The following is a 24,837-nucleotide window of genomic DNA, read 5'->3' as shown; positions in this document are numbered from 1 at the left end:
TATTCTTTCATCCGACTACATTTCTATGGTTTTAACTGTTGGCCCTAAGCATAAAACAGATGTGAGGATGATCTTATTCTAAGAGCTGTGCATTGTGTTCCAGCCCCAGGTTGTCTGATACTTTCCTTTCTTATCTCCCACCTGGCTCATGGCCTCTCCTGCATCAGTAGTGCCTGCTGTGGGCTTCCTGAGGCTGCACAGCATGCTTCTCATTGCTTGTCCGCCACATGCTTCTCTGGGGCTTCCTCTCCATGTCCGCCAGCAGCCTGTTGAGCTAAGGCACCTTCCCTTTCCTTGTTGCTCTTCTCTTTCTCCACTTTCTTCTTGGGCATACAGGGTCTTGCCCTTTTGCCCATGCTGGAGTACAGTGGCACAATCACGGCTTACTGCAGCCTCAACCTCCCAGACTCAAGTGGTCCTCCCACCTCAGCCCCATCCCCGACCCCCTACCAATAGCTGGGGCTACAGGCACACACCACAATGCCCTACTACTTTTTAAATTTTTTTCTAGAGACGGGCTCCCACTATGTTGCTCAGGCTATTCTCGAGCTCCTGGGCTCAACAATCCTCCTGCCTCAGCCTCCCAAAGTGCTTGCATTACAGACGTGAGCCACATGTTAAATCTTCGTAATAACCCTTTGATGTAGGTTTTGTCATTATCTCCATTTTTACATGAGACTACTGAAACACACAGTTAATCCTTCTTGTAACTTGCCCAACGTGTCACAGCTGATTCATTGGAACAGCTAGTCAAGCAGCAGATTACAGAATTAATGAACTGAAAAAAATTACACAGAATATAAAATAGAAAGATAAAGAAAAAAAATGAGGAAAGAAGGGATATGAGGGCTAGAATGAGAGCATCCAAATGTGATGAGTAGTTACAGGATGAGAGAAGGAAGAAAGGCCCAGTGTGAAGAGATGATGACTGAGATTTTCCTACAATTAAAACCTACATTTTGGATTAAAGAATCACAGCAATTCTTGGCAGGATAAATAGAAATGAGTCAAACCTGTCTCCTCCAGATGTCCCCCTGACCATTGCCCCAGCTCATTCCTTTGCATCCTGCCTGGGTCCCTATGTTGACCTTCTCACTGGTGTCCTGGCCACCAGTCTCATGTCCCTGGAAGTTGAGTCTCCTTGTAGGCTCTATGATGGCCTTCCTAAAATGCCGACTGCATCACATTAGTCCTGCCCCAGACACTTCAGTGACCCTTTATTGCTTCGGGGATAAAATGTAGGTTGCTAGGCATCACACACCAGGCCCCGTGCTCTGACCCCTCTCTGCCTCACTGCCCCCTCTACCTCACCACCACGTTTCTTCCTGCTCCCTACCTACCCTGCTCCCAGTAACATTGGCAGTGCCACTTTCTTTCATATCTCCTTTCCCTCACACATGCTGTCTTCTTAGCCCAGAGTGCCCTTTGACAGCCATTTTTCTTTGAGTAAATTCTGCCAGTTCTTCAAAACTTCAGTTCATATGCCGTCTTCCAGGGAATCCTCCTTTCACTCCCTGTCCCCAGTCTGAGGAAGCGACTTATCTGTGGGTCCCCGGAGTTCTTTGTGAAAATCATCTTTGGTAGCCCTCACTCCTTACTGCCATGGAGCTGCCAGAGGGGAACTCTGTATCCCCAGCTCCTGGTTCAGTGACAGGCACACAGTAGGGGACACTCAACAATGTTTGTTGGATGAATAAATGTATGGGTTGCCCTCCACATTACCTGTCTCTCTCTGTAATATGAAAATCACTTGTAGGCCAGGCGCGGTGGCTCACGCCTGTAATCCCAACACTTTGGGAGGCTGAGGCAGGCGGATCACCTGAGGTCAGGAGTTCGAGACCAGCCTGGCCAACATGGGGAAACCTCTTCTCTACTAAAAATACAAAAATTAGCCGGGCGTGGTGGCAGCTGCCTGTAATTCCAGCTACTCAGGAAGCTGAGGCAGGAGAATCACTTGAACCCAGGAGGTGGAGGTTGCAGTGGGCCAAGGTTGCGCCATTGCACTCCAGCCTGGGCAGCAAGAGCAAGACTTCATCTCAAAAAAAAAAAAAGAAAATCACTTGTGTGTCCTTATTAGAAATATCCATGGGCCAGTCACAGTGGTTCATGCCTGTAATCCCAGCACTTTGGGAGGCCTTCCCAGGTGGGACGACCACTTGAAGCCAAGAGTTTGAGACCAGCTTGGGCAGCATAGCAAGACCCTATCTCCACAAAAAAAAAAAAATTTAAAAAGTAGTTGGGCATGGTAGTGCATACCTATAGTCCTGTTATTCAGGTGGCTGAGATGGGAGGATCACTTAAGCCCAGGAGTTTGAGGCTACAGTGAGCTATAATCACACCACTACACTGCAGCCTGGGTGACGGAGTGAGACCCTGTCTCAAAAAACAAAAACAAATAAACAAAACTATGATCATGGCCGATGGCCAACAAGAGATTTACTGTTTCTTAAAAAAGTTGTTCAGAATAATCCTCCCCTGAAACGATGAAGAGTGGATAAAATATATATACAAAAATATATCTTTATAAAATATATCCATGTTTTAATATAACTTATAAGTATATATTTTAATATAATGTAAACATATAATGATAAAATATATTTTTATTCAGTCTTAGTTGTGTGTGTGTGTGTGTATACATAGATATTTATAGAGAGAGAGAGAGAGAGCCTTAAAAGCATTGAAGATCTGACAAGCTAGTAAGAAACTACCAAGCCAGAGAGGTAAATAAGCAGGAAGGAGCTTTAGCCCTGAGGACACTATCAATCCTGAAACACTGACACTGTCCTTGGACAGCCTCTGTGGAAGAAATGGAAAACGGCACCCAGGAACTAAGCAAGCTGGGGAGTGCCAAGAGAGCCCGCCTCCAAAAGGCTGGTCCCTTTCATTCTGCTCTCTCAGAATGAAAATGAGTTGCATGGGAGAACCCTGGAATTCCCTGGTTTGTCTAGGATCCTCAAAGACTTCACTTTGCGTTAAGGTGGCCCCAGGCTGGTGTGGTAGTGGGTGTCATCTGGCAGAAACAAGGAAGTTACTTGCATTCTGTTCCACAAATAGAGGAATTCCTACAAGTAAATGTTATAATGTAGTGACAAATACACAAAACCAGGCACAAAAAAATACAGCTAAGAAAATAAATTTATGAAAAAGTTAAAAGTTATAATAAAATAAATATCATTTAAAGCAACCTTGATTGCCACTTGAAACTTAGGAAATTTTCAAAGATTTAGAGTGGGGCCAAATCACAAACTCAATGCTGCAGAACCCAAGCAGAAAAGGAAGGGGCTCAGGTCCTTTAGAGCAGGGAATTCCTTGGTCCTACATACCTCAAAGCATGATCTGAAATGGGTTATGGGTATATCCCAGTGGCTCTGCAGACTCCTGGCTGTGGAGAGTGTCACAATCTGAGAGCCAGAATGGCTCTAAAGGGAGGGCCCAGGGATCCAGGCTTACTACTCTTGCTGTTGTTAAAAGCTGATCTGGTCGCTGTGATTGTTTTCAGGTGAAGGTCACACGCCCTAGCTAAACAGGCAGTTGCTACACAGCTCAAGCCAGTTGTTACAAGGAATAATGTGAGCCTGGTATTGCCTGGTCTTTTGATTCTTTAAGTGTAAAATATGTATTTTTATGTCTATAAAAATATGTAACTGGACTACATAGCAGCTAAGATAGATAGCTGTACCTAATATATCAACACAGATATATTTCAAAAACAATGGTGTTTTTGAGAAAAGGTAAGATGCAGAAGATACCTAAAAAATAATACCATATATTCAGAATTCATAAACATGAAATACAATATAATACTTATATGTATTATACAGTATGTTGTTTATGGCTATAGTAACATAATGGAAGTATAAAAACTTACATAGGAGTATAAATACAAAATTTAGGCTAGTAGTAACTTCTGACAAGACAGAAGAAATAGGATGTAGAACAGTACACAAATTATATGTACAATGTTTAATGCTTTATTTAAAAAATAAATTGATAATATAAAATGTTAAGATTTGTTTAACTGGGTAGTCAGTATATAGCTCTTTATTATACTTATTCTTTCTACTTTTCTATATTTTTGAAGGGGAAATATTGAAATGCTTTATGATAATAGTTAACCTAACAAAGCAAGAGTCAAACCCTGTGTGGACATCTGGTATCCGTGAGCCAGTGTGGCCCTCAGAGCACCAGTTTGCAAGCTTTGATTTAGAAAGTCAAGCCATAACTGCTGAGTATCGGTAGCATTAGGGCCCATTACCGTTGGTAACATCACCAATTTGCATGACACCTTCTGAAAGTACACTGTCAAGAACTATAAAATTATTAATATTCACAAACCCACTAGGAAAATTTTGGAAATTTTAGCAGAGACAGGGTTTCACCATGTTGGCCAGGCTGGTCTCGACCTCCTGACCTCATGATCTGCCTGCCTCGGCCTCCCAAAGTGCTGGGATTACAGGCATGAGCCACCATGCCCAGAATTTTTTTTTTACAGAAGTATTTCTTCTTAAAAAACTTTAATTATTTATTTCCCAAAGGTCTGCCCTCTAATCTACTAAAAACCTTTTATACATGAAGAATTTATGGTATTATCTATAATTTGAAAAAAATAGAAACAATTTTAAGTGTCTATCAATGAAGGATAGTTGTAAATTGTGGGGTACTAACTGTATAGAATATTATAACATCATTAAAAATTATTTTGAAGACAATGTCAAGATTAGAAAAAGCTTATAGGAGAATATGTAAAATATAAAATAGGAAATTTTTATGTGGCAATATTACAACTATAAAAATACATGTATATTTGAACAAAGATTGGACAAGAATAGACAAAAATGAAAACCAGATAACTGGAAATTATGAGGAATTAAAAATTTTTTAATTTCTTTCTTTGTTTTACTCTGAATAGGATTGAAGAATGATATGTTTGAGAAGACCATTTGAGTCACTTTGGTTGTTTTATTTTTGAGATACTATACTAGAGTACTTTTTGTTGTGGTTTTTATCTCATACTTAATTTTAAAATTTCAGCCATCAGAAATAGAAATGGAGACTCAAATACATCTCTATGGTCACACAGAAGAGATAACCAGCTTATTTGTTTGCAAACCATACAGTATACTGATAAGTGTGAGCAGAGACGGAACCTGCATCATATGGGATTTAAACAGGTACAGAAGAAGGTCTCCAAATCAAACATAGCATTTTTAATATATCCATTTTTACTATATGAAATAGATAAACCAAAATAATGTCTTTACGTTATAATCATTTTAACCATGAAACACATGCTTAAAGGTAGTAAGATTACCTATTATATTTTATTGAAGTCATACAATCAGATAGGAAAACATGTATGCCTTATGTACAATAGGTACATAGACTGAGAAGAAGAATTACAAAATAAGAGAATGTAATTATATTTAATGATCATATACAAATTCATGTCTTTTTTCTTTCAGGTTATGCTATGTACAAAGTCTGGCGGGACACAAAAGCCCTGTCACAGCTGTCTCTGCCAGTGAAACCTCAGGTGATATTGCTACTGTGTGTGATTCAGGTGAGCTTGCTCCAACCCAAAGCACAGGGCTGGCTGGTGCTCTAACAGCGCATTCGGCCAGTGGTTACTCCTAGGTCGAGCCATTCTCTCAGGTCCCTGCCAGATCTAAATACTTTGGTAACAGCATGTATGTGTATAGAAATACAATATGGTCCAAGACTGAGTGCATCAATTTAGGCCTCAGCTTATGCAGAAGTTAGTATTGTCATAATTTAACTATTTTCCTGATACATGTAAAATTGCATTTGAGTACATGTTAAGCTAAGCAAATTATTGTTACATAGTTTTTTCAGTTTTCTTGGTTTTGACTTTTCTCCCCTTTTTTGCTTCTGCTTTGTAACTATTGACTTTGTTACCTTCCTCCTGTGAAAGAACAAAATTTTAACAAATTGAGCTGAAAAATTGAATTAGCTTTTATTAATGATTCATGAATCAGGCAGCATTCCATCTATGAAACAGAAAGGTACCCCAGAGAGCCGAGCAGAGGAGGTAGGCTTCATAGGCAGAAAAAGCTGAAGAAAGCAGAAACAAGGAACAAAACTCAGATAGATCATTCCACAGTTACTTTCCTTAGAGGATTAAAGCAGAAGGAACTTCCTTATCATACCAGCTCAACTTGAGTGATCCCCTGTCATTGATTGCTGTGAATCTCCTGTTTTTTTGGAAAACTAGCCCATTTCCAAGTTCAGTTTGATTATGTGTCACCTCGCACAAGTGACTACTCCATTCTTGTTTGATCTGGTATGTTAGGGCCTAGTGCAGGAGCTCAGTCTAAAACATTGGCCTCCCGTAAATTTTATTTAACACTCCTGACTAAATGAAAAGCCTCAGCAGATGACCAGCTTGAATATATGTCTTCCAGGTTCAGACAGAGAGCAATAGTATAGAATAGTAAATGGAAGTATAGTTTGCCTTAAAAATTACATGACAAAAATATATCACCTAATCAAGAGTGTTTTGTTGTTGTTGTTTCATATATACATGTTAAGAAACCAATGCATCCAGCAGAAAAGAACAGTTAGAAAATTCATGAATTTTCTGTTTGCATTTCTATTTTTAAGGGTCTTAAGATGCAAAGGATCCTCTGAAAAACTGTTTGCTTCTTTCTGTCCATTCAGTGTTGGACATACCCATAGTGGGTAGTCCCCTATCCTTTGCTAGCATTTTTTACATTGTTTCTTTTTTTCTAACACAAAATGTATGGTGTTTTTCCAGAGACTAACCAGTTCTCTGACACCAACTGGGTGTCCCACCATGCAGTTCAATTGTGACACTAGAAGTTTGCAAATTTGGAGGCTGCCATGAGCCCCACCCTCAGGTTCAATAATTTGCTAGAATGACTCACAGAACTCAGTAAAACACTATTTATACTTAACAACTATCATTTATTATAAAGGATAGAAATGAACAGCGGCTGAAGAGGCACAGGACCAGGTCTGGAAGTGCCCTGAGTGCTGGAGTGTCTGTCCTCCTGGAGTCAGGGTTGTGGAGTTAGGGTGCACCATGTTCTGGCACACAGTTGTTAGAAACAAGTGCTTGGTGCCGTAAAGAAAAACTAGCACTTAGAAGATTTCTCAGGAAGGCACATTTACTTCTGCAGAAAGGTGCTGCCTGCGTCCGACCGACCGATCGTAAGAGCACACCGAAAAAAGGAGATAAAGATTTTTATCCCTAACACAGCTCCTGTTGCTGTATCCTCTCGCCATTGGCTGGAGTCAGACTGCACAATCTAACTAACTCAATTGGCTAAGACTTAAAGTTTTCTAACTATGATAAACATGCAGTTTGCGAGAGGAGGGGAGGAAGAGACTGTTGCTAAGGCAGGAAGGGTAGTTTATAGAACAAGTCTGGGCATGTCTAGGCATATAGAGGTTTGCTAGTTACAAAATAAGCAAGGGTGGGGGCTGTTTACAGAGCAAGAAAGACCAAGGGAGCTTGGAACTTATTATTTCTGACACTTTTCCCCCTTTTGATGTTATACTTCTTCCTCTTCAGAGTCCTTAAATTTTTCTAACATCTCTTGGCTTTGTAGTTCCTTTTGGTTGTTTAAGAGTAGGAACTTATTTGAGTAGGGCGGGGGAGAATCGAGAGAGGTTTTGGTAAGAGCTTTTTCTATAAGCCTTTGCCTTGATCCACGAATACAAGGTATGATGCAGCAACTTACAAGAATGAGTACACTGATAACAATTGCAAGGGGGATAAAGATTGATGTTATGAGTCCTTTCTATTTTCTAAACCATTTTTCTATGACTTTTCGGCTAATTTATTTGCTAGGGTGGTAAGGCCCTGTAGGGCTTTTGTGATTGTTTTACTGGGGGCTGTGTTGTTAGGGATAAAAGTACAACATTGGACTCCAATCATGACACAGACCCCGCCCTTTTTGGCCAATATTATGTTAAGGGCTATTCTATTTTCCTAAGCCATCTGACTGGTAGGACCTAATTGTTCAGCTATTCCTTTAATGGCATCCCTAGTATAGTTAGCAAACCACTGTTGATTATAATAAACGTAATTTATCCAGTCTACATTTTTGCTTGCAGTTACCCATGAGAACAATATAGATTCAAATCCTGCAGCTATTTGATTCCTGGCTTTAAATTCATTTAGCACCTCTTGTGGAACTTTGATAGCATTTATATATATGTGACGATCAAAAGACCCGAGGGGGACACTTTTTTTTTTTTTTTTACGATTGTTCTTTCTATTTGGTTGATGAAATGCCAGGGTGAAAGGGATGGCTAATTGGATTAGAGCGCAAATGCCACTCCACTTGCTTGGCAGAGTACTTAATAGTGGTCCACTACAATACTACCATACATCCGCTTGGGGATGAAAACAAGGGCAGACAGGCTGGTTAACTCTTGAAAAGGCTTAGATTCACTGCGTCCTGTTAGGCTTCCAAGGAATGCCAAATATTCCCCCTGTCGTGAGAGACACAAGGTAAAATTGACATTGTTACTTGGAGGCCAAATAGCTCTGGAGGGCTGACCCACAGAGCCTGTAACTTCTGGGAATAGTAACGAGAGACTGGCATGCCTTATTGCCCCGGGCTGTGGGGTCTTGGAAGAGAGCTGCTATGCAGTTCATATTCTGTGGGTCGGAGGACCATCCAAGTGGAAAGGGGACGATTTGGGTCTCTGCTCTGCCTGTTGCAAAAGCGCAACAATCGCTTTTATTTAAGGTGTGAGCGGAATATTTAATCCATTTCAGCCAGGCATTTATATCTTGGTACCCAGTTGTTATGGCTAAAGTTTGTTTTAAATCCTTGACTTTTATTATAACTACTTTGGTTTTGTCATTGGGCATGAAATGGTAGATGGTTTGATTGGATGGGCTTGGGGAAGGGGTAACAATAGAGGATAGCGGGGAAGAAACAAAGCGCATTTCAAAGAAGCCTGTAGAGTCCTTTCTAACGGCATTTTCTCCTAGACCATAGAAGCACCTAAGGTGGGGTTAGAGTTGCTAGAGGTAGGGATAGTAATAGAGATGAGTAGTGGGTTGCACTGGTGGGTGTGACAGTTGTGGGGGGCGGTGACTCCTTCGGTGAAATGGAGGTAAGGCTTTAGGGTGGTGCAATCATCTGAGGATGTCTAACCTTGATTTTTGGTGGTCTAAACAACATATGCCCATTGAGAACATAAATTGGGGAGAGAGTGCTGATCTCCCCACCATAGGCGGGATAAGGGGGCGGTAGTGGCTTCCCTGGAGGGGCAGAGGTATTTTTCTGATGCTATTTCTCTTTGGCGTTGAAGGTTCCTGCAGGGTATAACAAAACAAGCATTAAAAGTAATATTTTGGGGTGAGCTTGACTTAGTTACATTAATAATAAAATGGAGGGGGTGGTTAAGGGAAAGAGAAGAGAAAAAAAAAGAGACAGACTGATTAGACTTTTCTTTTTAACATTGCTTTGGTGGGAGTTGGCCCTGGGACAGTGGTCCATGGCTTTGAAGAGGGCAGTGCTTTCTTGACTCGGGTATAATGGGTCTACCCTTTTTCAGCAGTTTGGATTACTGTTTCAGTTGTTAAGAGCACCAGGTAAGTTCCTTCCCAGATGGGCTCGAGCTTTCCCTCTTTGCAACTTCTGATAAGGATGTGATCTCCGGGTTGGTGTCGGTGAACTGGGAGTTTGAGGGGTGGAGTTTGTGCTAGGAGGCTTTGAGTCTTGAGGGAGTGAGTAAAGGGTGGAAGACAGACTAAATACATAGTTTCTAAGAAACTGATCCTTTGTCTCAAATGTTGGGAGGTCAGTAGTGGAATTTAAATAAGGCAACCTATAAAGCATTTTATACGGGGATAAGCCGATATCTTTCTAGTGAGCAGTTCAGACTCTTAATAGGGTAACGGGAAAACACTTAGTCCATGGTAATCGAGTTTCTAGAATTAATTTTTTTTAATTAAGTTTAGAAAAGTTTCTTTAGTTATAAAAGTAATCAAATCCCTTTTCACAATGGAAAGTTCTACATGATCTTAAGAACTAAAATATCATGATTTGAAAAGCAATATGGAAAGTTATTTGCAGTACAAACTCTATCACATTCACTTAAAAAGCAGCCAAAGTTGCTTTTTTCTAGGTATACAGGCAACATTCCACACCATTCAATACTACCTCCCTTTTGTGAAACACTTTCTTCTGGTGGCTTTCAGAATACTAGTCTCCTGATTTTTCTTCTAGGTCACTGGTGGGTCCTTCTCAGTCTTTTGCTGGTTCCTCCTCTTTTTGTCTACTTCTTAACGATGGCATACCTTAGGTCTCTTGTCTTTTGCTACCTTCTCTTCTCTAGCTGTACTAGGTGATCTTATCCAAAGTCATGGTTATTCCCTAATGACTCCTAAATTTATTTTTCCAGTTCCAAATTATACCCTGAAATCCAGACTTGGATATCTAATTGCCTACACAGCATTTTCAACTTAACACAGCCAAAACAAAACTTGATTCTACATTCCTCCAAACTTGTTCCTTCTCTGGTATGCCTCATCTCTGAATTTCAGAATTCACCCAGTTGACAGGTCAAAAACCTGAGTCATCCTTTACTCTTCTCCTTCTTTCTCCTTATATCCAAGCTATTAGCAGACATTATCTTCTCTACTTACAAAATAGAGTCTGAATCTAACTTCTAACTTCTCCTACCCTAACATCTATCACACTAGTCCAAAACTGTTACCTAGAACACTATAATAACCTAACTGGTCTTTGCTTTCCTCTTTAATCTTTTTCAGTCTAACTTTCACACTGTAGCTCTATATTTCATAAAGGTAAATCGAATTATGTCATCCTCTTCTTAATCTAATTGCTTCCCATTTACATATCTACGCCAGGCTATAAGGACCTGGCTTTCTTCCTTATGTCACTTCTTACTATTCTTCTCTCTTAATCACTATGCTATAACCTCACTGACCTCTTTGTTATTCCTTAAACATGCCAAGTAAGTTACATTTTAGGGCCTTTTCACTTGCTTTTACCTTTGTCCAGAATGCTTTTTCCCTAAATATTTATATGGCTCATATGCTTACCTCACTGGGGCCTCTGCATATGTTATCTCTTCAAACAGGCTTCTCCAAGCCATCTTATCTAAAGTATTAACCCTCCCCACATTCTGTCCCAGTGGGATTCATCCTGGGATGTAAAGATGATTCAACATATACAAATCAGTAAATGTGATATATCATGTTAACAGAATGAAGAGCAAAAGCCATATGATAATCTCAAAAGATACAGAAAAAAGCATTTGACAAAATTCAATGCATTCTATCCCTATTCCCTGCCTTTTATTTATAGCAGTTGATATATTTGCTTATATTGTTATTATTTGTCTTCTCCATTGGAATGTAAACTCCATAAAAACAGGTACTTTGGGCTGGGTGCAGTGGCTCACACCTGTAATCCCAACGCTTTGGGAGGCTGAGGCAGGTGGATCACTTAAGGTCAAGAGTTTGAGACCAGCTTGGCCAACATGACAAAACCTTGTCTCTACTAAAAATACAAAAATTAGCTGGGCGTGGTGGCAGGTGCCTGTAATCCTTGTGAAAATAAATAGTTTAAATACTAGCTCCATTTCTTTTCCCAAATAGAGCTCAGGTTTACTGTCTTTTCATTATCTTTCCAATATTTTAACATGAGACTTAGAGGGTTATCAGAGGGAATCATATTATCTGCTTTGCTCTTTGTAGTTTTTGTTTTACTAGGGTTATTTCCCATCCTGGAAGTTTTAGATGTGTCCCTGAGTTTCCTGACTGTATGGGGTTCAACCTCTCTTACTAGAGATTTCTTGCACCCTTTCCCTGGAGACTTAACCCCCCTCCCCACTGGAGGTTTCTTGCACTCCTTTACTTTACTCCACACTCGCTTTGCACTTAATTGTGCATCTCATTCACATACTTTCAACCTCCAGGATGTCCCAACCACCAAAGAAGTACTTCACTGCCCCTGCGGCTTTTCTTACCTTGGTCTGTGCACAGAATTACTTGGTCACCATGGCATCTGTAGGCCTTTTCCTTCCATGTTGCTGAGAGTCTCGGTATATTCATCATGCTGGTGGGTCTCAATCCCTCATTCTTGAGGCTGCTGCAGTGAGACACGTCTCCTCACAAGAGATGATTGGAGACCCTTCTCCGGAGGAGAATGGGATCCCAGATGTGCCCCCATTTTGTTAGAAACAAGTGCTCAGTGCCTCAAAGAAAAGCCAGCACTTAGACAGAACATTTCTCAGCAAGGCACATTTACTTCTGCAGAAGGGTGCTGCCTGCATCCGTCTGATTGCAAGAGCATACCAAACAAAGGAGAGAAAAGTTTTTATCCCTAACGCAGCTCCTGTTACTGTGTCCTCTCCCCATTGGCTTGAGTTGGACTGAACAATCTAACCCAATTATTGGCTAAGACTTAAACTTTTCTACATATGGTAAATATGCCGTTTGCAAGAGGAGGGGAGGAAGAGACTGTTGCTAAGGTGGGAAAGGTAGTTTACAGAACAAGTCTGGGCATGTCTGGGCATATAGAGGTTTGCTAATTACAAATTAAGCAAGGGGTGGGGCCTGTGTACAGAGCAAGAAAGACCAAGGGAGCTTTGAAGAGAAACTTATTATTTCTGACATAGTTGTGTTCACCAACCCAGAAGTGCTCCTACCCTTGTCATTTAGGAACTTTATGAAGGTTTTGTTACATAGGTCAATCCCCACCCCCCACTCTGCTCCCAGTGTCACTGGTAGAGGGTGTTGACTGCAAGTTGTCCAGGTTCTTGGTGTTTTGAACAAAGAATTGGACAAAATGCCCAGCAAAGCAAAGAAAGCATGAAGCAACAAAAGAACAAAAGCAGGAATTTATTGAAAATGAAAGTACACTCGGCAGTGTGGAAGTGGACCCAAGCAGCGGCTCAAGGGCCTGGATATAGAATCTTCTTGGGTACAAATACCCTGCGGAGGTTTCCCATTGGCCACTTTATGCTCACGTCATGTGAATGAAGTGGTATCCCACAATCAGTCTGATGGGTTGCCTAAAACCACCAATCAGAAGCTTAAATGGAGTTACAAAGGTCACACTCCTGTGGAAACATCTGATTGCTTTTTGCAACCAATCGTAGGCTAAGGTGAAGTTACAAAGTTGCAAATGAAGACTCCACCCACAATCAGTTTGATTGGTTGCAGACAGCCAATTTCCCATCTGCCAGCAGAAAACGTGGGAGTTTTGCAAAGGGAGTAGCCTCTGGTCCTTTTGTTCTTTAGGCCTGGAAAGTTAGGGTTTTCCTTTGAATTTAGTTCTAGGAAGTGAGTGTGAAACTGTCTTAGGTTCCCTGCCTCCAGACCCTATTCTCCTGCCTCACCAGGAGGTGGGCATGAGAGTTGGGGGGTATCTGGAAGTTTCAGTCCTCAATCATGTGGTTGATTTTTCTGGTGACCAGCCTCTAGACTGAAGCTATGTAGTCCTGCCCACTGAGAGTCATCTCATTAGCATACAGAAGACAGTAAATTCCAAGGGCTTTAGGGACTCTGTCCCAGGAACCAGGGACAAAGACCAAATACTTATTTTTCATTATACCACAGATACCTGTTAGGGTTTTGTTATTGTTGTTTCTACAAAACATTCATCTATTCTTGTGTTCAGGAGAAGTAATATCTTCAGTCATGATTAGATTTCAGATATGAAAGAATTTTTGCTAGTCTTAGCCCCCAGTTGTAAAATAATGTCATGAAAACATTTTTATTTCCTAATGATTATAACAAAGGGAAAAGATCTTAAAGAGTTGACTTTGGTAGTACAAGTTTGCGCAAATGATTGATGATTTTTTATTTCCTTGATTTGTGCATTAGCAGCTTTTAGTGTGTCATATCAAGAGGAATACTGGGGAAATAATATAATGATTGTTTATATGGAGTTCTCTACTTTCTTGTTTTGGCAGTGTTTGAAAGTTAGGACTGATCCTGAGGGAGTTGAATTTTGTAAAGTTAATTACTTTCCTGCTGCCAGTAGTGATTTATATCTGTGATATTATATCAGCTAGTCATATGAGAATGAGAAACAAAATTACTTTTTCTGCAATTACCAACTCACTAGTAGGGTATTCAGGTGTCCCTGGGTAGCACACAATATAATAGAGTAATGGGTAAAACTTTTTTCCAATTTGAACAAAAAGGCCTTGTCAACTTTTTTTAAGGTCTCTTGATACATATATAAAAGAAATCATAAAGAGCACTTGGTATATAGGGAACATAATTTTTTAAATTACTTTTTTAAAGAGAGGTCAAATTTATCTGTAGCGACCCAGACTAGAGTTCATCCTCCTATTTTCTTGTAGGCCAAGAAGGAAAGAAAGTTATCAGATTTAACCTATCAAAAATTTTGACTATTTATTGGATATCATCCAAGTGATCTTAAAATTAAAATATATATATATATGTCTATGTATGTATATACGTACAGACAATCCTTTGTATCTGTGGGTTTCACATCCGTGGATTCAACCAACCTCAGATTGAAAATATCTGGGGAGGAAAATGAATGGTTGCATCTGTACTTAGTATGTACAGACTTTTTTCTTATTATTATCCAAACAATACAGTATAACAACTATTTATATAGCACTTATATTGTATTTGGTATTATAAATAATCTAGAGGTGATTTAAAGAATACAGGAGGAGGCCAGGCACGGTGGCTATGCCTGTAATCCCTGCACTTTGGGAGGCCGAGGTGGGTAGATCACGAGATCAGGAGATCAAAACCATCCTGGCTAACACAGTGAAACCCCATCTCTACTAAAAATTCAAAAATTTAGCCAGACATGGTGGCACTCGCCTGTAGTCCCAGCTACCCAGGAGGCTGAGGCAGGAGAATCGCTTGAAGGAAGCGGAGGTTGCAGTGAGCTGAGATTGTACCGCTGCACTCCAGTCTGGGCAACAGAGCGAGACTCCATCTCAAAAGAAAAAAAAAAAAGAATACAGGAGGATGTGCAGAGGTTATATGCAAATACTACACCATTTTATATCAAGGACTTGAGCATCCATGGATTTTGATATCCTCAGGGGTCCTGGAACCAATCCCTCTCAGATACCTAGGGACAACTATATTATGTGCCTGTGCTGTATGTGTAACATCTTCTCAAAAGTTACATTGTCAAGCTCATTCCTCCTGATCATAATTTCTCAGTTCTTATGATGGGATATGGTTTTTATAGTGATAAGATGTGAAATGTATTAAACTGTGAAAATGTAATCAGTGATTTCTGGGGGGGTTGTATGTGTGTTTACCATTCTATCACTGGATCAAAATATATGCCTTTGAACTAAGGTGAGACATCCATAGCCTGGTCCTCTGTTGCCAATGGCAAGATAGAGTTAGTAAAATATTCTAAGATTCACAGTGGGGTGGTTCTTTAATTTATTTTGATTTTCATGACTGTGTATACGAAGGATAGAGATGCTTTTTAGGAATGCCTAGGTTTCTGACTTTTAGTTGATGTGTTAAATTATACATTCGAGCAATCTGGTATTGGGTAACTGTCAAATTTTGATACTTACAGAAGTAGGCAGATGAGTAGTTATTTGGTTTTGTGGTAGCCCAAGTTACTGAGTGAGCTGCTAGGATAATTCTTTGGCTACTAAGTTCCAGGCCATACTTGAGAGTCCAGGCCCACATTTAGATTTTTTATTTTGAAGGATTAAGCCATGCAGTAGTGGTAGCTATGGGTTACAGCGAGAAACCCCTACCTCAATATCTTTTATGGCTATGTTTCCAGTGACTTCAATGAGCCTTCTAGCCTTACTAGTACTTATCTAATTATTTTATCTTTTAAAAAAATATTTTAGCCAACATTTAATTCAAAAGAAAGGTTGAAATGTAGCCTACTCATGGAAAATATTGTCTATAATTCTATTTCTTTAGCATACTGAGTCTCCTGCATCTTGATGCTATATTTAGATATAATCAATGTTCTACAATGGGAAAACTTAGTAGAACATTGGGCATGTGTGTGTGTGTGTGTGTGTGTGTGTGTATGTGTGTGTGTGTGTGCATGTGTGTCTCAATGTATATTTAAATAAAATTTGCCATTCCAGCCATTTTTTAAGTATTCAGTTCAGTGGCATTAATTATATTAACAGTGTTGTGCAGCCATCACCACTATTTCCCCATTCCTCCTCCCTCAGCTTCCAGCCCCTGGTAACCTCTATTTTACTTTCTATCTCTCTGAATTTGCCCATTGTAGATATTTTATGTAAGTGGAATCATACAGTACCTGTCTGTTTGTGTCTGGCTTATTTCACTTAGCATGATGTTTTCAGGGTTCATCCATGTTTTCGCATGCTTCATTCCTTTTTACGGCTAAAGAAAATTGTGTGTGTGTGTGTGTGTGTGTGTGTGTGTGTGTGTGTGTGTGTATGTACATACTGCATTTTGTTTATGCATCTGTTGATAGACATTTAGGTTGTTTCCTCTTCTTGGCTATTGTGAATAATGCTGCAACACACTGGGCATTTTGATCTGTGGTATTTGGCGGTCTTTGGCATATTTTTAAATAAAGAAGCATTGTTTATATGTTTCTTTGCTATAAAATATGAAATATTTTCATTGTCTTAATAAAAGACAGAAGCAAAGCCTCTACTTATATGTAATGAAAAGATAAAATTAAATGTAGTGAGACTATGTCATCAAACTTTATCGTGCCTCCTAACCGCTTTATCAGTATGAGAGTATTTCCCCAGAGAAGGCTGGACATATCATCATCAGCCCCCAAACCATCCTGTTTATAAAGCATGGCAGGCAATTATGCTTCCCCCAACCCCAGAAAACTAAAAGAAAAACTTTTGGTTACTCTGTAATCTTTGAAAAGAAAAAATTAATAAGGTATTGCTTTATAAGATTTAATCTTAGATGTTCTGAAGAATACTTTTTCTTCTTTTTTTAAGAATTAAGTTTTAACTCAGGTAATTTTTACTACACCTTTTTTTTTCTTCAAAAGTCACATAAGTCACTTTTTTTTTTTTTTTTTTTGAGATAGAGTCTCTGCTCTGTCGCCCAGGCTGGAGTGCAGTGGCACTATCTCGGCTCACTGCAACCTCCACCTCCTGGGTTCAAGTGATTCTTCTGCCTCAGCCTCCCTAGTAGCTGGAACTACAGGCGCCCGCCACCACCCCTGGCTAATTTTTTTGTATTTTTAGTAGAGATGGGGTTTCACCATGTTAACTAGGCTGGTCTCGAACTCCTGACTTCAGGTGATCCACCCGCCTCGGCCTCCAAAAGTGCTGGGATTACAGGCATGAGGCACCACGCCTGGCCAAGTCACTTCTTATAGATGGTTTCACAGAATATTTCCTTCACTTTTTGGAGACTGTTTAGCTTTCCAAGTATTTTCAATCATAACTCATATTTGGTGGTTCATATGCTGAAATATTACAATTACACAAAGATGATTATTTTACCTTGTTACTGTACACATAGATTGCTTCTTCTTATTTTTATTTTTTCGCTGGTTATTGTCTCTTGATTAATACATAAAGATCTATGCAACTTGGCCTGGTGCAGTGGCTCACGCCTGTAATCCCAGCACTTTGGGAGGCCGAGGTGGGCTGATCACTTGAGGTCAGGAGTTCAAGACTAGCCTAGCCAACATGGCAAAAACCCATTTCTACTAAAAATATAAAAATTAGCCGGATGTGGTGGCGTGCACCTGTTGTCCCAGCAACTTAGAAGGCTGAGGCAGAAGAATCTCTTGAATTCAGGAGGCAGTTACAGTGAGCCAAGATCACACCACTGCACTCCAGCCTGGGCGACAGAGTTAGACTCTGTCTCAAAAGAAAATGAAAAAGAAAAATCTGTGCAACTTGTGTAGTAATTTCATTTATACAGTCTTCAGTCATGGGTTGTCTACAAACTTCATCAATAAACAAATGAGCTTGCCCTTCAGGGTTGCCCTTCTGGGGCCAAATGTGGGCTCTGAGACAGCCACATTCTGGTAACCCGCCGGATGATTTGGGTGTTTTAGCTGGCGGAGGCAGTGACCTCAGACTCTGGACGGTGAACGGGGATCTCGTTGGACATGTCCACTGCAGGGAGATCATCTGTTCCGTGGCTTTCTCCAACCAGCCTGAGGGAGTATCTATCAATGTAATCGCTGGGGGATTAGAAAATGGAATTGTAAGGTAAGAGGAATTTGGATTCTCTTTTTTTGATTTCATTCATAAGGACACAGGAGTTTCAGAAATTAATTTTTAATATCTAGGCATATTAATATTCAGTATTTAGAGATTTAAACTCACCTTGGGGTGTAGGTTCTTTAGTTATTCCTGTTTTATTTCTAAATAATAAAGATAGCTTTAGCACAGTTTTGAAGTTTTATGTTAACTATAAAAGATTAACAGTATGGAAGTATACAAAGTTAAAAGTTCTCTTATTCCCACATCTACCCCCTGCAAACTCCCTAGAGGGAACTACTGTTAATTGTTTGTTACATTTCCTTCCACATGATTTTTAACAAATAAACAAATATAGAGGGCTTTTTAGGGAGAGTAATTTTAGTTTGCATAATTAGATGATTTTTTTCCCCTCTAGGTTATGGAGCACATGGGACTTAAAGCCTGTGAGAGAAATTACATTTCCCAAATCAAATAAGCCCATCATCAGGTAAGATCTTCTCCCCCTCTTATGCTTCAGAATACAATTTGTGATTGTATTTTTCGTAGAGAGGTATTTAAGCACACAGACTTAAAGAAATGTGCAATTGAAGTCATCATGAAAAGCCAACCACTTAACACACAGCGGGTTGTCCGTGACCCAGCAGCAAGAGAGACCACACTCCTTGTCTTCATGGAGCTTAAAATCCGAGTCAGTGACTCAGAGTCTAGTGGAAAGGCATGCTTGTAGTGTGTCTCTGGAATCATAGAGACTGTATTTTTTCCTTTCATATTTGACAAGACCATAATGGTGATTGATAGCTGCAGGGGTGCTTGACAAAATAGATAAATAATCAGTTACTCTTTGCTTAGTTAACAAATTTGACTTTAAATAATTAGAAATAAAGTGATTCAAATTTTACTTTATTAAATTAAATGTATTTTCAGTGTACTAAATTTAAAGTTTAAGGAACCTAAATTAATTACTAATGTTACATTTTTTTCCTTTTCTCTTTTAGGGAAATAATATATAGCCATAAAATACTTATTTATCTTTATAAGGAGAAAATATAGTACTGTTATATTTTTAAAAGTTTTGTACACCCAAATATTTGTTGTTTATGTAATAAAGCATAAACAAGGAGGCAAAAGAAGATATGCAAAGAATAGAATGTACTGAGCTTTGTGATCCTGATTTTATTCTATATCACCGCATTTATGAGCATCTCAACTTGTCAGCAGAGTGACTATGTTAGAATTACAGTCAAAACCAATGAGTTGTAGGCAGTCATTTAGTTTATGTCTCTCTGCGCCACTGAAGATAACTTCTTTACACTAACCTCAGTATGATGACCAATATGCTAATACACTTTTAAGAAATATAATGTACAAATGGGAATTTTTTTTTTTTTACAGCCTTACATTTTCTTGTGATGGCCACCATTTGTACACAGCAAACAGTGATGGGACCGTGATTGCCTGGTGTCGGAAGGACCAGCAGCGCTTGAAACAGCCAATGTTCTATTCCTTCCTTAGCAGCTATGCAGCCGGGTGAATGCGAATGAACTTCACGTTCTCCAAAGCACTTTAACTCCAAACTAGATTTGTTGACTTCACCAGTTTTAGGAGGTTGAACCTAAAGAAATGGATGACTGGACAAACCATCCAAATAATGATAAAGTCTATTCATCTGCACAAAATTCTGAAGAGTCACATGATCCTAAGAGGAAAGTTCTGTTCTATTTTAGTGATAATCTGGAAGATTGTGTCAATATGCACTAGCCAACAAGTTTTAAGCCTCGCATGGTACATTAAAATGATATTCTTAAAATTTTTTCCCACCAAGGTATTCCAAAGAAAATATTAAGGTCTCCCCTTTTTCTATGATTCCAAAAGGACCAGTAGAATTTAAATTGGTTGGTTGATTGTTTATATAAAACACACTAAAATTATATTTTAAAAGTTTACTGCCATGAAATACTCCTCCCACCACACACACATGCTCCAAAAGAGGAAAGAAAAAAAGATAATTTTTAGGACTTGATAATTGCTTTCTTTGAGAAGCAAATTATTCAGTAGGTGCCTCTGTACCAAATATTTTATGGAATATCTAAATACTAAAATAAACTATGAATGAATCTCAAAATTAGGCAGTTTTTGCCAGTTGCTTTCTTAGCTCAAAGGAGAACCAGAATTTTTTTGACAGCCACAAACAAGAATACAGGTATCTTGGATTTCAGACACATTCTGTTTCTTCATAAAAATTTTACTTAAAATCTGTAACGCTAGATATTGACTATCCTTAGTTGAGTCACTGAGGTTTAAACACAATGGTAAGTCTTAAAGTCTGCTATTTACAGAGCATTGAATCTGTACCAATTTGCAATAGAAAGCCTTCAGTATGCAAGAAGTTTGCATGGGTATTAAGAACACAGCCTAAATAAGGCATTTGATCTAATCTGCAGGAAGAATTTTCTTCCCCAAAACAGAATTATAAAAGCTTACTTTAAACAGGAGGCAGAATAATTCTTTTAGGAAACCATTTCATTCTGTTTCTACTAACCTATACCATCTGAGAATTCTAGGAAGAATAATAAAATCTCGTGTATTCCACAGCAAACTTACATACCATAAAGACAGAATTCCTAAACATCTTGGAGCCGTCTGTCTCTCCCATATGATGGCTGTCTGTATATTTTTACTTGGGGTGCTGCTTTATTGGCTTTGAAAACACTGTCAGATAAGCTCAGTAATATGTTACCATGGGATAAAAATATGTATCCCTGCCTAAGAATAACTTGTGCATTTGTTATGGAAATTTAATTCATATGGTGTTTACAGTACTACTTTTGTAACTTCCAGACTTTCTAAAACATTCTGCTTAAAAACCATATAAAATATAATTCCAAAGTCTCTGCTGTCAAGATAGATTCGAGAGAAAGCACGTGGCCATGTATGCTTTAACCTTAAACTGCATACACATGTAGTGATACCTAGGCTGCATTTAGATCACCGTGTGCTCAGGCCAGGTGTGAATCCTGAGGTCCATGGAGGTGCAGAGATGAGATTACTCCTATTCACGTTGAAGTGATTTGCTTTGTTAACAAAAAATTGCAGCTATTGTCTAGCTTTCATTTTTTTACTGAGAACTTTAAATTAGTCCCCTATTAGAATAGGGTTGCTACTCATCTTTTTTTAAAAACCGAATTTCATCATTTATCTAAAGAGAAAATATGCAGAATAACTGGTCTTGTTAAGAGTGCAATATTATATTTTTATGTAAAAATAAAAATTAATTTGGGGGGATTATTTATTCAGCATGAAACCTAATATGTATATGTTTGAAATACTTCATAATGTGCATGTTGTAGCAAACATTTCTGTAAATTATCACAAGCTCTGTTACCTTTATATACACTGCCTCTTCAATTTGGAAATAAATTTCATAAAAATAGATGTAAACACCTCTTCTTTAAGCTATTTAAATATTATGAGCAGATCTCAAATCGATGGCTTTCTGTGTAACCCACATAGGTTCTGTCTTTAGCTCCACTATGCATTTATATCACTAGAAAAAGATAACTTTCTTTTTTTTTTTTTTTTTTGAGATGTAGTTTAGCTCTGTCGCCCAGGCTGGAGTGCAGTGGCACGATCTCAGCTCACTGCAACCTCCGCCTCCCAGGTTCAAGCGATTCTCCAGCCTCAGCCTTCCAAGTAGCTGGGACTACAGGAGTGTGCCACGACGCCCGGCTAACTTTTTTTTTTTTTTTTTTTTTTTTTGTATTTTTAGTAGAGACGGGGCTTCACCGTGTTAGCCAGGATGGTCTCAATCTCCTGACCTCGTGATCCACCTGCCTTGGCCTCCCAAAGTGCTGGGATTACAGGTGTGAGCCACCACGCCCGGCCTAACTTTCATTTCTTATTGTGGTTTTTGTACTAAAATTTTATGTTTCAACCTTTACTACCCTTAGATGGTGTGGACACTAGTCCCAAGATCAAACCGCTCATTTTAAAGAAAAAACCATCTGCCCACCCCCGACCCCACAGCAGATCTATATTGAGCCCTTGCCAGGTGCCAGGCACTGTACCAAGTGCTGAGGATATCGTGCTGCACAAAGCACGGTGGTCCCCTGCACTCCTGGAGGTTACAGGCTGGTGGAGAAACCACCATAAATAACACACAATATGTACAGTTACAAACCATGGTAAGTGTTAGGTAAAATATAGGGTACTCTGAAAGAATGTAAGAGGAAGGACTTTATTTAGATTGAGGTGATCTAGAAAGCCTCTTGAAAAATTGAAATTTTTGGTGAGGCGTGGTGGCTCATGCCTGTAATCCCAGCACTTTGGGAGGGTGAGGTAGGCAGATCACTTGAGATCAGGAGTTAGAGACCAGCCTGGCCAACATGATGAAACCCCATCTCTACTAAAAATACAAAAATTAGCAAGGCATGGTGGTAGGCGCCTGTAGTCCCAGCTACTTGGGAGGCTAAGGCAGGATAATTGCTTGAACCTGGGAGGCAGAGGTTGCAGTGACTGAGATTTTGACACTGCACTCCAGCCTGGGCAACAGAACGAGACTCCGTCTCAAAAAAGAAAAATTGAAATTTCTGTTGAAACCCAATGAATGATCGGAAATTTGGTGAAGATGGGGGCAGATGTGTTCCAGATAATACATGTTCAATAACTGGGGCAGGAACATCAGCAAAGGCCCAGGGAAGGAAAGAACATCCTGTCCCTGTCTCAGCTTCTTGGTGGGTGAGGGTGGGAGTGAAAACGGTGGGTGACGTCAACAACAGCAGTCCAAGGGCCCGAGGGCTGCCCTTCTTTCTGCTTTGCATCTGTGGTATTTTAAGATTCTCAAGACTACAGCATTCCTGTTCCTAGGTGTCTGTCCCAAAGAGAACTGAGCAGTAGCATTTTGTCGGTGTGAGCCTGCCAACCCAGATGTCCCCTCTTTACCTGAAAGTCTCAGTTGGACTCACCCTTTCCACAATGTTCACTGAACGCCAGTTCTGTGCAAGCCCGAGGCTAGAGGCTGGGTGGGGAAGGGAGGGGAGCGGGATTCTTTCCAGCTCGAAAGAGCTCATGCAGCGGGCGCAGTGGCTCATGCCTGTAGTCCCAGCACTTTGGGAGGCTGAGGTGGGCGGATCATGAGCTCAGGGGCTCCAGGCTAGCCTGGCCAACATTGTGAAACCCCATCTCTACTAAAAAATACAAAAATTAGGCAGGCGTGGTGGCACGGGCCTGTCATCCCAGCTACTGGGGAGGCTGAGGCATGAGAATCGCTTGAACCCAGGAGGCAGAGGTTGCAGTGAGCACTGCACTCCAGCCTGGGCGACAGAGCAAGACTCAGTCTCAAAAAAAAAAAACAATTAAAAAAAAAAAGAGCTCATGCCTGGTGACCTGCTTCTCACTATTTTGGATGACGTGTTTATGTTCTGAGGGGAAAAGCAAAAAAAAAAAGCTACAAGGCCGATTTTTTTTTTTTTTTTTTTGAGATAGAGTTTTACTTTTGTTTTCCAGGCTGGAGTGCAAGGGTGCAATCTCGGCTCACTGCAACCTCCGCCTCCCAGGTTCAAGTGAGTCTCTTGCCTCAGCCTCCCCAGTAGCTGGGAATACGGGCGCCTGCAGCCTCGCCCAGCTAATGTTGTATTTTTAGTAGAGACGAGGTTTCACCATGTGGGCCAGGCTGGTCTCAAACTCCTGACCTCAGGTGATCCACCTGCCTCGGCCTCCCAAAGTGCTGGGATTACAGGCGTGAGCCACTGCACCTGGCAAGGCCAACGTATATAAAAATGAGAGGAAACAAACTCAACGAGTGAACATTTTTTATCAGTAATTGCAGAACAATGGGAGTTCTTGGATTATGCATGTTGCAGGCCCTCTTTGCTGATTATCCTTCAGGTGTCCCCAGTTTGTCCCAAACTGTCTCACATCTTGGTCAGCTATATTATTTTTTCATTGTACTCCTTCTCAGGATAACACTCCATGTACTATGAAGCCAAAGCACTTTAAAACCTAATGAGCTTAAAACCTTGAAGCAGAAAGACCAACTGAAAAGCATTAGCAGTTGGAGGGTAGATGGGAAGGAAACAAAACAACTGCTACTGGAGAGAACAATTCACCACTGAGGTCAAAGGTAGCAAAAGAGCTTGTAGGTTGAGCACAAACTGGTATTGTGGAGTATTGCAAAAGCTTCATGTTGCATGCAGGATTTCCCCCAGTCGTTTTCAACTGCACAATTAAGGCAGCTACATTTGCCGATACCAAACATATACACGTATATGCACATTGAGTTGAGAAAGAGGTGCCACCTATATCATGTGTCATGTGACAACAGAAAACTATATCTTGCCACTTTGGGGACACTGGGTTGCAACTCAGCTGTTTGAGAGAAATTAAATAATACAGTGTGTCCTTTGAGGCCAAAATGACTAGAAGATCATTTGAGACTAGGCTACAATATTCCTGCTCAAGAGCTGAGTTCGTTTCTTCCTTCATGAAGGAAGTTAATGAGAGATGAGTTTGAAAAAGGTTGTCTCGTGGCAAAGTTTGGCTCATTGCCAAAGTAAAGTAAACAGGTCTTACCAAAACTTCTGAAGACTGATGATAATGAACTGGTGTTTCATTCTCAGATTTTAATTTTGTTAAAATAGCTGTAAAAGTCCTTGGAAT

The 24,837-nt window shown here is 40.0% G+C and overlaps 1 protein-coding gene across 8 annotated transcripts in view, besides 1 other annotated feature; it reads left to right on the top strand.

Annotated features, from left to right (window-relative positions):
• LYST (lysosomal trafficking regulator) overlaps positions 1-21,623 on the top strand; it is a 222,683-nt gene extending 201,060 nt beyond the window's left edge. For 7 of the 8 annotated variants that reach the window (XM_011544032.2, NM_001301365.1, XM_011544031.2 and 4 more), the window contains 5 exons: positions 5,035-5,174; positions 5,466-5,563; positions 18,033-18,189; positions 18,599-18,670; positions 19,576-21,623. In XM_011544032.2, the coding sequence (XP_011542334.1) occupies positions 5,035-5,174; positions 5,466-5,563; positions 18,033-18,189; positions 18,599-18,670; positions 19,576-19,714 (606 nt within the window). In that variant the 3' untranslated portion in view covers positions 19,715-21,623. The remainder of the gene's footprint in view (positions 1-5,034; positions 5,175-5,465; positions 5,564-18,032; positions 18,190-18,598; positions 18,671-19,575) is intronic. The other variant, NM_000081.4, reaches the window with a different exon arrangement.
• Positions 12,072-13,271: an enhancer, noted in NCBI's record as "BRD4-independent group 4 enhancer chr1:235832683-235833882 (GRCh37/hg19 assembly coordinates)". NCBI's record gives its function as "activates an origin of replication core promoter dependent on BRD2, P300/CBP, MED14 and CDK7 cofactors, and independent of BRD4, by STARR-seq in HCT116 cells {active_cell/tissue: HCT116}" and the evidence as "EXISTENCE:reporter gene assay evidence [ECO:0000049][PMID:35650434]".

The sequence above is a fragment of the Homo sapiens genome, chromosome 1, assembly GCF_000001405.40.
Source record: "Homo sapiens chromosome 1, GRCh38.p14 Primary Assembly".
NCBI lineage: Eukaryota > Metazoa > Chordata > Mammalia > Primates > Hominidae > Homo > Homo sapiens.
This window is presented reverse-complemented; position numbering and strand designations above follow the sequence as displayed.